Source organism: Homo sapiens, chromosome 10 (genome assembly GCF_000001405.40).
Source record: "Homo sapiens chromosome 10, GRCh38.p14 Primary Assembly".
In the NCBI taxonomy this organism is placed as follows: Eukaryota; Metazoa; Chordata; class Mammalia; order Primates; family Hominidae; genus Homo; species Homo sapiens.
Window position 1 is genome coordinate 95,648,968 of NC_000010.11, and position 12,691 is coordinate 95,661,658.

The 12,691-nt window shown below is 43.7% G+C and overlaps 1 protein-coding gene across 10 annotated transcripts in view, besides 1 other annotated feature; it reads right to left on the bottom strand.

Moving 5' to 3' along the window:
- Positions 1-7,744, bottom strand: part of ALDH18A1 (aldehyde dehydrogenase 18 family member A1) — a 50,771-nt gene extending 43,027 nt beyond the window's left edge. For 5 of the 10 annotated variants that reach the window (NM_001323419.2, NM_001323412.2, NM_001323417.2 and 2 more), the window contains exons 1-2: positions 7,630-7,744; positions 4,323-4,438 (exon numbers count right to left, since the gene is read on the bottom strand). Coding sequence is in view for 6 of the 10 variants with exons in the window: in NM_001323417.2 (NP_001310346.1) it covers positions 4,323-4,410 (88 nt within the window). In the remaining 4 variants the exon portion in view is untranslated. Of the gene's footprint in view, positions 1-4,322; positions 4,439-7,321 lie in introns of all 10 variants that reach the window. The other 5 variants (NM_001323418.2, NM_001323416.2, NM_001323415.2 and 2 more) reach the window with 2 other exon arrangements.
- Positions 7,481-7,590: a silencer, noted in NCBI's record as "silent region_2649". NCBI's record gives its function as "represses an Ori minimal core promoter by ATAC-STARR-seq in GM12878 lymphoblastoid cells {active_cell/tissue: GM12878}" and the evidence as "EXISTENCE:reporter gene assay evidence [ECO:0000049][PMID:35858748]".

The window sequence follows — 12,691 nt, forward strand, 5'->3', positions numbered from 1 at the left end:
TTCAGCCCTTATACTCTACATTAATAGGAAAGAGATTTTTCTGTCTAATGACAAGCTTGATTAGTTGATTGGCAAGTCATCTTGCAATGAAGCTTGGAAATGGACTACTGATAAGATTTAGGTGATATCAAGGAGCTAGCCAACTCAAAACATCACAAACAGCCTTTCAACAAATGATGCTGGAACAACTAGTATTAAAAGTTGAAAGATGAACATTGACCTAAACCTCACACCTTATACAAAAATTAACTCAAAATAGATCACGAAGTTGGGTGCAGTGGCTCACACCTGTAATTCCTGCAGGTTGGGAGGTCAAGGTGGGAGGATCTTTTGAGCCCAGAAGTTCGAGACCAGCCAGAGCAACATAGACTCCATTTTTACAGATTTTTTTTTTTTTTTTTTTTTGAAACGGAGTCTCACTCTGTCACCCAGGCTAGAGTGCAGTGGCGCTATCTTGGCTCACTGCAAGCTCCTCCTCCCGGGTTAATGCCATTCTCCTGCCTCAGCCTCCCAAGCAGCTGGGACTACAGGCACCTGCCACCACACCCGGCTAATTTTTTGTGTTTTTTAGTACAGACGGGGTTTCACTGTGTTAGTCAGGATGGTCTCGATATCCTGACCTCGTGATCTGCCCACCTCGGCCTCCCAAAGTGCTGGGATTACAGGCGTGAGCCATCAGGCCCAACCAAAAAACTTTTTAAAAAATTAAATGTGCCAAGACTGGGCAACATGGCAAAACCCTGTCTCAACAAAAAATATAAAAATTAGCTGGATATGGTGGTGCACGCCTATAGTCCCAGCTACTTGGGAGGCTGAGGCAGGAGAATCGCTTGAGCCTGGGACGTTGAGGCTGCAGTGAGTAATGATTGCACCACTGCTCTCTAGCCTGGGTGACAGAGTGACACCCTGTCTCAAAAAATAAAAAAAAAAAACAAAGAAAAAAATTAGCCAGCTGTGGTGGTGCAACCCATAGTCCTAGCTACCTGGGAGGCTGACATAGGAGGATCACTTGAGCCCTGGAGGTTGAGGCTGCAGTGAGCCTTGATCGTGCCACTATGCTCTAGCCCTGGGTAACAACAGAGCAAGATCTTGTCTCAAGAAAACAAAAAAAAAATGGATCATGGATTTAAGTATAAAATATAAAACTATCGAACTTTCGGGAAAAAAACATACGAGAAAATCTTCAGAATACGGGGTTATACAAAGAGTTCTTAGACTTGACCCCAAAAGTACAATCCATAAAAACAAAAGCTGATAAATTTGACGTCATCAAAAGAAAAACTTTTCCTATATGAAAGACCCTCTTAAGAGAATAAAATGACAAGCTATGAGACTGGGAGAAAACATTTGCAAACCACCTATCCAACAAAGGACTAATACCTGGAAGTGCTATGGTTTGGATATGGTTTGGCCCTTCCAAGTCTCAGGTTGAAATCTGATCCCCAGTGTTGGAGGTGGGGCCTGGTAGGAAGTGTTTGAATTACGGGGGCAGATCCCTGATGAACAGCCTGGTGCCAGTCTCAGAGGGAATGCATGAGTCCTCACTCTTAGTTCCCATGAGACATGGTTGTTAAAAAGAGCCTGGCCCTTTCTTTTCTCTCTCTTGCTTCCTCTCTGGCCATCTGATTTTGCACACAACAGCTCCCCTTCATCCTCTTCCAAGAGCAGAAGCAGCCTGAGGCATTCACCCAATGCAGTTTTTGGTGCCATGCTTTTTGTGCAGCCTGCAGAACCATGACAAATAAACCTCTTTTCTTTATACATTACCCAGCCTCAGATATTCCTTTATAGCAATAAAAATGGACTAAGACAGGAAGATATAGAGAATTCTCAAAATTCAATAGTTTAAAAAAAAAACAACTTTCCAATTCAAACTGAGCTGAAGGCCAGGTGTGGAGGCTCATGCCTATAATCCCAGGACTTTGGGAGGCTGAGGTGGGGGGATCACTTGAGGTCAGGAGTTTGACACCAGCCTGGCCAACATGGTAAAACCCTGTTTCTACTAAAAATACAAAAACTGGCTGGGCATGGTGGTGGGCACCTGTAATCCCAGCTACTCAGGAACTGAGGCAGGAGAATCGCTTGAACCCGGGAGGCAGAGGTTGCAGTGAGCTGAGATTGCGCCACTACACTCCAGCCTGGGTGACAGGGCAAGACTCCATCTCAAAAAACAAAAAAAAACAAAAAGAATGAGCTAAAGACATGAACTAACATTTCACTGAAGAGGATATAAACACATGAAAAGATGTTCAATATCATTAGCTATTAGGGAAAGGCACATTAAAGCCACAATGTGATTATCACTACATACCTATCAAAATGGCTAAAATAAAAAAGAGTGACCACATCAAATGACGGTAAAGATGCAGAGAAAGTGCATCACTCATACAGTGCTAGTAGGAATGTAAAATGGTACTGTCACTCTGCAAAGACAGTTTGACAGTTTCTTATAAAACTGTGTTAGGCCATTCTTGCATTGCTGTAAAGAAATACCTGAGGCTAGGTAATTTATAAAGAAAAGAGGTTTAACTGGCTCATAGTTCTGTGGGCTGTACAGGAAGCATGGTGCTGGCATCTGCTCAGCTTCTGGTGAGGCCTCAGGAAGCTTATAATCATGGCAGAAGGCAAAGGGGAAGCAGGCATCTCCAATGGCGAGAGAGGGAACAAGAAGAGAGAGTGAGGGGGTGGTGCCACACACTTAACCAGATCTTGTGAGAAGTCACTCACTATCTCAAGGACAGCACCAAGGCATGAGGGATTCACCCCCATGACTCAAACACCTCCCACAGGCCCCACCTCCAACACTGGGGATTACAATTCAATATGAGATTTGGTAGGGACATACATTCAAACTATGTAAAAAACTAAACATGTAGCTACAATCTGACCCAGCAACTACACTCTTAGGCATTTATCCCACAGAAATGAAAACTATGTTCACACAAAATCCTGTACATCAATGTTCATACCAGCCTTATTCATAACAGCCAAAAAATGAGAACAACCCAGATGTCCTTTAATGGGTGAATGGTTACACTAACTGTGATACACTCATAGCATTACATACTTCTCAGTAATAAAAAGGAACTAACTGATACACACAGCAACTTGAATGAATCTCCAGAGAATTATGCTGAAGAAAACAGAATTCCAAAAGGTTACATACTGGATAATTCCATTTATATAACATTTTTATAAGGACAAAATTATAAAAATGTAGACCAGATTAATGTTGGCCAGGGGTTAGTAATAGGGAAGAGGACAGTGGCTGTTAAAGAGAAATAAAAAATCCTGTGGTGATTGAAATGTTCTGTATCTTGATCGTATCAACGTCAATACCTTGGTTCAGATACTGGGTGAAATTGGGTAAAGGGTATAAGGGACCTTTTTGTACTATTTCTTAAAATTGCAAGTGAATTTATAATTAGCTCAAAATCTAAAACTTAATTACAAAAAAAGAGTAATGAACAAAAATAGCATGGGGCCGGGCACAGTGGCTAACGCCTGTAATCCCAACACTTTGGGAGGGAGGCCGAGGCGGGCAGATCACCTGAGGTCAGGAGTTCGAGACCAGCCTGGCCAACATGGCGAAACCCTATTTCTACTAAAAATACAAAATTAGCTGGGTATGGTGATGCACACCTGTAATCCCAGCTAACTGGGAGGCTGAGGCAGGAGAATCGCTTGAACCTGGGAAGCAGAGGTTGCAGTGAGCTGAGATTACACCACTGCACTCCAACCTGGGAGACAGAGTGAGACTCAAGAAAAAAAAAAAGCATGTAAAAATTTATTTGGGGGTCAACTTTATTGACACAAACACTGAGAACATTTCACCAGGAGACTACCTCTTTGCCTCCTTGCTATTTGGCAGAATTTTGTCCAATTCTGCCAAATTACATCTTTTTTTTCTCTCTCTCTCTTTTAAACCTTTTTTCTTGGCTGGGCACGATGGCTCACGCCTGTAATCCCAGCACTTTGGGAGGCCAAGGCAGGCAGATTGCTTGATCTCAAGAGTTCAAGACCAGCCTGGGCAACATGGCAAAATCGCATCTCGACAAAAAATAAAAAAGTTAGAGTCAGCGCGGTGGTGTGTGCCTGTAGTCCCAAGTACTTGGTGGGCTGAGGCAGGAGGATTGCTTGAGTCCAAGAGGTCTGGACTGCATGGAGCTATGTTTGTGCCACTGCACTCCAGCCTGTGTGACAAAATGAGACCCTGTCTCCAAACAAACAAACAAACATCTTTTTTCTCTTTGAAAACCTTGTTGAAACATACTTTGACTATCAAACGTCCCACATACTCATAAGTTTTCTATGGTACATACGAGATCTGAAGACGGTTGTACACTTGACCCAGGGCAGAAGATGTTGGTTGAAGGGCTGGAACCCACAGCGGTAAACTTGACTCAACATGCTGCGATGTGGTCACTAACCAAAGTATCTGCAGAATACATTTTTTAAAAAGTGAGTAATGAAAAATACTGGACAATTCATTTTATTTCCCTCTACTTCCCCTTACCCTCGGAGTAAAAATCTGACTCTCCTGCTCCAAACTCCTCTGTATTAGGGAAACTCCCACCTCCTCTATATTATAGAAAAGAGAGAAAAAGTAAGTGGCTCCTTTCTAGGCCTCAACCATCTTAGTTTTTATGTAAGCAAATAATAATGCAGAGTTAGGAATATTTTGAGACACAAAAAACACCTGCTCTTTTTGGTATCTTCCAAATTTAAAAAAAATCTTTCAGGTGCAATGCTTATGTGTTAATACTAAATCTTCATATAATTCCTGTAACAGATCCAACATCCTAAAGCAATCATGTCCACCTTTCTGCTAACATCTCCCAACAGAACCAGGAAATGCACCTATTTGAAATGTCAGCTTGATCCTTGCCAGCCAGCCATGAAAAGCAAGAGGAAAGGCCAGAGGCTGCTGCCATGTCTTTCTTCCTGATGCCCACAGGATTACAAAATAACTCTTGTACCCCTGGAAGGCAGTGGCAATGCCTACAACTGGCTAACATCTTAATCCTGTGGAGGAAGAGAATATGGCTACAAATCTCGGTTGAGAACATAAGGCAGTTATGGGCATTTCCTCACCCTGGGTCAAATTTGAGACTTTAGACAAAGAATAGTTTATTTCACAAAAAAGTAGGGAACTCCTTCCTATATGTACAGGGAGAACAAGCCATTCATTATTGTAGCTTTTTTTTTTTTTTTTTAAGATGGAGTCTTGTTCTGTTGCCAGGCTGGAGTACAATGGAGCGATCTCGGCTCACTGCAACCTCTGTCTCCCGGGTTCAAGTGATTCCCCTGCCTCAGCCTCCCGAGTAGCTGGGACTACAGGCACGCGCTACCATGCCTGGCTAATTTTTTGTATTTTAGCAGAGACGGGGTTTCACCATGTTGGCCAGGATGGTCTCGATCTCCTGACCTTGTGATCCACCCACCTCGGCCTCCCAATATTGTAGCTCTTTTTATGCTACAGAGACACTGCTATTTTCACAAGGTAAGAAAAATACTTCACTTTCTTTGTTTGTGGGCCTCCTTTTAACTTTTGTTCCATGGATTGGTGGATATATCCCAGCCCTCTTAAATGTGCCTCAGAAGACTAGCATTTAGCCCCATAGTGAAGAAAAATTAGGAATGGTGTCATTGCTTTACAATTTATACTGCACAAAGGCACTGAAATGGGACAGAGAAGAGACTGGCAGGATGCAGCTGTTCTAAAACATATGGCATCTAGTAGGCAACAGAAAGTATTAATTGATCTTTGTTATTTCAATTTTTTCATAACACTGAAGTATGATTTTAGCACGTGATCTAAGTTTGCTGCTTATATAAATTCCTTCAATAATGGCTGCTAAACAATTATTTACATGTGAATTCTCCAAAATAACTACAGAAGAGCCAAAGGGTAAAACAATCAAATTCCAGTTCCACCTCCCTAAGAAACCTTCCCCAGCAAGGCTAGTCTTCACAGCTGGATATAATTCTATAGGTTAGCTTTTAAATAGCTCATGACTACTGCTTTTCCCATCTGGATTACAAACTTTCCATTGACAATATGGCAAAAACGATGAGGAACAAGGCCTTTGAAGTTGGTCAGATTTGGGTTCGAGCTCTGCACTTGCTGTGTGTCTTGTGGAGAGTTACCCAATTTTTCTTTATTATTATTATTATTATTATTATTATACTTTAAGTTTTAGGGTACATGTGCACAATGTGCAGGTTAGTTACATATGTAAGAGTTACCCAATTTTTCTAAGCCTCTGTTTCCTCACTTATAAATCAGGGATACTAACACTATGGACCTCATGAAATTATAGTGAGAATTAAAAGAGAGAATGCGTGGAAAGTGCTTGGGTACAACAAATGGTCAGTAAATGTCAGTTTTCCTCCTTTTGTCTTTTAGGCACTAATGATGCCTTACAATTATTTTTTCCTTAATTTCCTTCAAGACCCATCACGGGAACAAAGAATTCAACGAATATTCACTATTAGATACAATCACACACATATATTGACTGACTGTTTACCTCTCTATTAACCAAGAGTCATTGAAAGCTCTGAACACCTACGGTCACTGAAATAAGAGATTGAAGACTGACGTAGAAACCAAGCCTCCTGACCTCTCCCCTGTACCACCATCTCTGACTGACCAGGCAGAGTGTATTACGCCCTCGAGAAGCACACAGTTGATCCCAAGGAGCAAAGAGAGTGTGTGTGTGTGTGTGTGTGTGTGTGTATCTAGACTCGTGTCTAGATTTGTGTGACTGTGTCTCGACTCTGTGTGTGTGTTTAGACTCCATATCATCAGTTGAAGAAAGTTTTCACGTTTTGACTCAAGACATTTCTCAATATCTCTTTACAGACTAAACAGAATGCCCTTATCTAACTGATTTGAACAGAGAAGTGAACCTCAGTCCCAGCACAGTTCACCCACAAACACATGCTCGGTATATGGCTCACCACTTAAATACAAAGATCCGATGGGCCTCACCACCTCAGAGGGCAGGGGATAATGATGGGGGAAGGACGAGGTGGGGTATGTGGGTGCGTCCTGCTGTAACAGGAAGACCCCAGCATACACAGAATGCCATACTGCAAAGGGAGTCTGGCTTTGAGGAGGGGATGATGAACGCCTGGAGGGCCGCGGGGAACTAGGGACCCAGGCCCCTGAGAGTCAGCGTGCGGCCAGCTAAAACCCGCGGCATCCCGGCGCTGCCACCACCGCCACCCACGCCACCCACCAGTGCAGGCTCCATACTCTTGGAAAGAAGGGGCCCGCGGATGCCTGAAGTCTCCACTTGGCCCAGTTCCTTACATGGTGTACCCAGGGGAGGCCGGGGAGGTCAGGGCCCGTAGCCATCCGTAGATCCCGGGGCGGCCGCGCACCGGCATATGGGAGCGCGCCACGGTCTTGCAGCGCGCCCTGGGCGGCCCGATGCAGCCGCCATCCCTCGGCCGAGGCCCACACCTACCCATGGGCCAGATCCCCGGGCCCCGGCACCTGCTCCGGCAGCGTCCCCGCTCCAGCGGCCCGGCGCTCACGCCCCTCGCGCTTGAGCCTGGGCGCGCAACAGCTTCCGCAGAGACGCGGGCGCCTAGCCATCCCCGCCGCTCGCCGCGTACCTTCCTCACCACCGCCGCCTTCGCCCCCTGGCACTACCGCGGGTCCGCACTCCACGCCGGGCTGATTCCGGCGCTCGCTCACTCTCTTTTTTCTTCCGTCCACGTCCCGCACGATGACGTTACGTCAGTGGCGTAAGAGTAAACCTGGGCAGCCGGCCCTACGCTGTTGACGTGGGGCGAGGGCCTGTCCTGGAGCTGCGGCGCGGCAATGGCGTAGGCCCCTTTCGAGAATCAAGCCAGCGCTCCACGTGGCGGGCCAGCCCACCAGGCCCCGGCAGCCTGGAAGAGGCGGGACTCGAGTTCAGGGGGAACGCCCACGTCCCGGGAGGGGACAGGGGCCGGAGACAGGGGCGAAGACACCTTCGAAACGCCGCCCCACTGGGCCTTCCAGGGAGGTAGAAGAGGTGCCTGGCACCCTCAGCTGCTGGTAGATTTCATAAGGTGTGTTTGTCAATGTTAACCATTTATATCCCGGGCACACCTCGGAAATAGGTTGGATCAACTTACATATGTTTGTTACTTCAGGCACATCCTGGGAATAGATTGGATCAGTTTACACACATTTGCAAACTTTGGCTCCTTAAATGGAAGCATTTTGGCACTGCAATCAAATTACTTGCCCCCTAGTCATCTGGAGGTTTCCCCAATGGTCCCATCTCAACTCCCTTTCATCAAAGGCAGTTGTAAGAATATTGCATTTTAAAATAGGATATTCAATCTATGACAACTAGAACTATTCCAAAGGTGAATGCAGACTCACCTTTAAAGAGAGACCACAAAAACCTGGCACTGTGGTGTGTGCCTGTAGTCCCAGCTACTCGTAGGTGGAGGCAGGAGAACCACCTGAGCCCAGGAGTTCAAATCCAGCCTGGACAACACAGCAAGACCCCACCTCTTAAAAAGAAAAAGAAAAAAAGTGAAAACACAGATTTTTCTCCCTCTTTCCTTGCTGTATTTTGCTCAAAGGACACATTCCTGCATAGGCACATAGTGCTGGGTGGTGGGAGGGCAGCACTTGATAGGAGGTTGGGCACAGAAAGGCATCATGCCCTTCTGTCGTCCCTGATAACACTACTAAGCCTATTTATTCATTTTCTTGTTTATTAAACACTGGCTACTGCTATGGTCTGAATATGTCCCCCAAAATTCATATGTTGGAAACTTAATTCCCAATGCAAGAATATTGGGAGGTGGGGCCTAATGGGAGGCATTTGGGTCAAGAGTGCTCCACCTTTATGAATAGAGTGACCCTCATGAATAGATTAATGCTGCTATCAAAAGGTTTGTGGAGGTGGGTGTTCTCTTCTGCTCTTCTGCCCTTCCACCACGTGAGGATACAGCAAGAAAGCCCTCACCAGATGCTGGCACCTTGATCTTGGACTTCCTAGCCTCTAGAACTGTGAGAAATAAATTTCTATTATTTAAAAATTATCCAGTCTGTGTTATTGTGTTTTAGCAGCACAAAATGGACTGAGACAGCCAAGCATTCCCTGGGTGTGGAAGAAGACATAGCTGAGTTCACAGCCTTATGGAAGAGAGAGATATATGAGCAAATAATTACAATACCATGTGATGAATACTAAAGAATGGGATGGCCAGACATTCAGGGATGGCTGAAATGGTTTGACTTTGTGTCCCCACCCAAATCTCACCTTGAATTGTAATTCCCATAATCCCCACCTATGGAGGGTGGGACCTGATGGGAGGTGATTGGATCATGGGACTGTTTCCCCCATGCTGTTCTTGTGATAGTGAGTTCTTATGAGATCTGGTGGTTTTATAAGGGACTCTTCCCCCTTCACTGGTTTGCTTTCTCCTGCCTGCCACCATGTAAGACTTGCCTCTTCCCCTTCCACCATGATTGTAAGTTTCCTGAAACCTCCCCAGCCATGTGAAACTGTGAATCATCTAAATCTCTTTTCTTTATAAATTACCCAGTCTTGGGTATGTCTTTGTAACAGTGTGAAAACAGACTAATACAATGGCTTTAAAAAGAGTTGATATTCAAATTGTGCTTTGAAGCACTAGAAGTAAGGAGTTTACCTAAAAGAGGAGAGGAGTACAGGATCATATGAGGAAGAGGGAATAAGGGAATGATATATGCAGAGGTGTGAGACACCCCGTGAAAAGAGGCTACTTGCAGTAGGACATGACAGGAGAGGGGTCTGGCTGGTATCCTAAACTTACAAAGGGTTTTTTGTGGTATGCTAAAGATTTTGAATTTTATAATCCTTAAAAACAGAGAAACATGACTTTTTAAGTGCTGGAATGGTATGATCCGATTTTTGTGCCAGAAATCAGTAAAGACGCCTAGAGCTGGAATGTTGGTTAGCCTATTGCAAAGGCCCAGGTAAGAAATGGTGGCCCAAAAAAGGCTCCAGCAGAGGAATGGGGAACAAAAAGGAGGGAGAGCTGACAGCACTTATTCAAAGTGGGAGAGTGAGAGAAGAAGAGCAGTGCTTGGGAATCTGATGGTGCTGCAATACCATGAATCAGGAAATCTATGAGGTGAGTTCTCATGAGATCTGATGGTTTTCTAAGGAACTCTTCCCCCTTCACTTGTTTGCTCTCTCATGCCTGCCACCATGTAAGACATGCCTCTTCCCCTTCCACCATGATTGTAAGTTTCCTGAGACCTCCCCAGCCATGTGGAACTGTGAACGGGGAACAACAGTTCTTTTGGGTGGGGAATGAGAATACGAAATGTGTTAAATGTGGAGCATTTTGAATTTGCAGTAGGGTAGAAAAAAACAAAAGAAATTAAATTTCCCTCAAGTAAGTTATATCTGGTACCTCATCTTTTAAGATTCTCATCATGTACTTAGAATGAATTAGATGACTGTGGGTATAGCTAGAGCCAAGGGATAGGGGCCTTCACTTTAGAAGGCCTGTTCTGGTTCTTCTCTTAACTCACAGATTACCTTATGGTAATAGCTTATCTGCCTTCCCTGCTAAAAGATAAGCTCCTGAGAACAGGGAAGTATATTCATGGAACATAAGAAATATTCAATAGATATTTGATAAATAAAATGAACTACTTTTGGTTTAGTTTTCTCAAATTAAGAAATTGGGCTAATGACACCATCCTTGTCTATCCCATAGGGTTGTGAAGAGTATAAAAAATGAAAATCCTTTAACATTGTACAGACATTTTCTATTTTATTTATCACTCATTTTTATTACTATTTTATTACTAATATTCTATTCCATCAATAAGGAGAAAGTAGTGGGATATGTAACTATGGATTAGGAAAAATTAAATTCCAGACATATGAGCTAGTTTTTCCCTCCATAGAAGTCAAGGAAGTAATTCAGCTATGATATTTTTCCTGTGTATGATAAAAAGACTGATTCTTTTTTTGACTGGAGGGGTTTAACTTCTGTCTCAGCAATTAGAAATAAGGCTGGACATGACCAGACAGTCACATAGGAAGTGGGACATTTAGTATTGGTCTATAAGAATGCAGGATTTAGAAGTGCTTCTTTAGATGCCATCTAAATTGTTTTAGGCTTAAATTACCTTAATCTCAAGTTATTTAATTGTAAAAACAGAAACTCATTCAAACAAGACAATTTACTAGAAGCAGTAACTTATAGTCTCCAAAGGCAGGAGGTAAAATTGGGTCTCACAAGGGGCAGGGACAAGAAAACCGGAAAGTAAGTAATCAAGATGGTTCTCCATCTCTAAGTCTCTTGCTGACACTTTTCTTTGCCCATCTGTTTCCTTCTCTCCACTTTTCCTTTAAGATAGAGTCTCCATTAGTGAACATTTGGTGGAAAATGGCTTCCCTAGCTCTAAAAAATCTTTCCAGTTAGTGCCCACTCATGACTCATTTCAAGTCTTGGTCTAAATTCCAAGTTCCTGGGAGAGAAAATTGTACTGGCCTAGACTGGTTCAGGACTCCATTCTTGGTCCAGTCATGCATGTAATGGAAAGATGGAGGCTGTCCCCTCCCCTCCTTAAGCAAAGTTCTGAGCAGTTGGAATTCTCAGAGAAATAGTGGACATATTCAGGAGTTGGCAATGATGGGACCCTTAAATGAAACCAGTTTCAGCCACACTATGCAACATCACATACTTTCACAAACCAAGCTGCACATCAGAAGCACCTAGAAAACTTTACAAAATACAGATCTTGGAGTCCCCACTTCCTAGACCTGCCTCTTCCACCAGTGATCAGAATCTCTAGGGGTAGGGCCCAGGAATCAGTATTTTTATAAAGCACCCTAAAAGATTACTTTGTGACTAACCTTTGGGAACCACTGCTTTAAAAGACCCAGAATACTGAACAAACAAATACAATGATAAAAAAGGGAAGTTACTCATAGAGTATTACATACAATACACAAGAAGTTGAGTTTTTTATTTGTTTGTTTGTTTGTTTTTGAAACAGGGTCTCACTCTGTTACCCAGGCTGGAGTGCAGTGGCATGATCATGGTTCACTGCAGCCTCAACCTCCTGGGCTCAAGCGATCTTCCTACTTCCATCTCACAAATAGCTGGGACTGCAAATGTTCTGGTGATGGTTGTGTAACTCTGTGAATACATTTAAAACCACTGAATTGTACACTTTAAGAGGATGAATTTTATGGTATGTGAATTATAGTTGACATGTAATTTGTCTAAAGGCACAGAGTGGTCTCAAAGCACTTCGGAATGAGGCTAAGGATCTGAATCAGGGAGTAAGAGAGACCGGATTCTGAAAGGGGCAGGTAGTCTGTCAGCAGTGGACTGGATGTCTGCTGCCCCATAGATGAGAATGAGTTGTCACATATTTTTTCCTTTAAGAAGCCCAAACTTAAATATTCCATTAGCTTTGTGGTCAGTTTCACTACAGGTCTCCTCGGAGGCAGGGTTACTGAATTAAATGTCTATGAAATGGACTATGGTGGGATCTGTGCTATCAGCTTCCCAGCTACCGACTTCCCCTTGTACAGAAGCACCTCCTCTAATTTAATAACAACTGCTCAAAACTTTGCCTTTTCTTTCAGGGAAACTGGTTACTTTCCAAGTGTTTTGGAAAAGGGCAAAATGATAAACCAGTCAGAGATGACTTTACAAA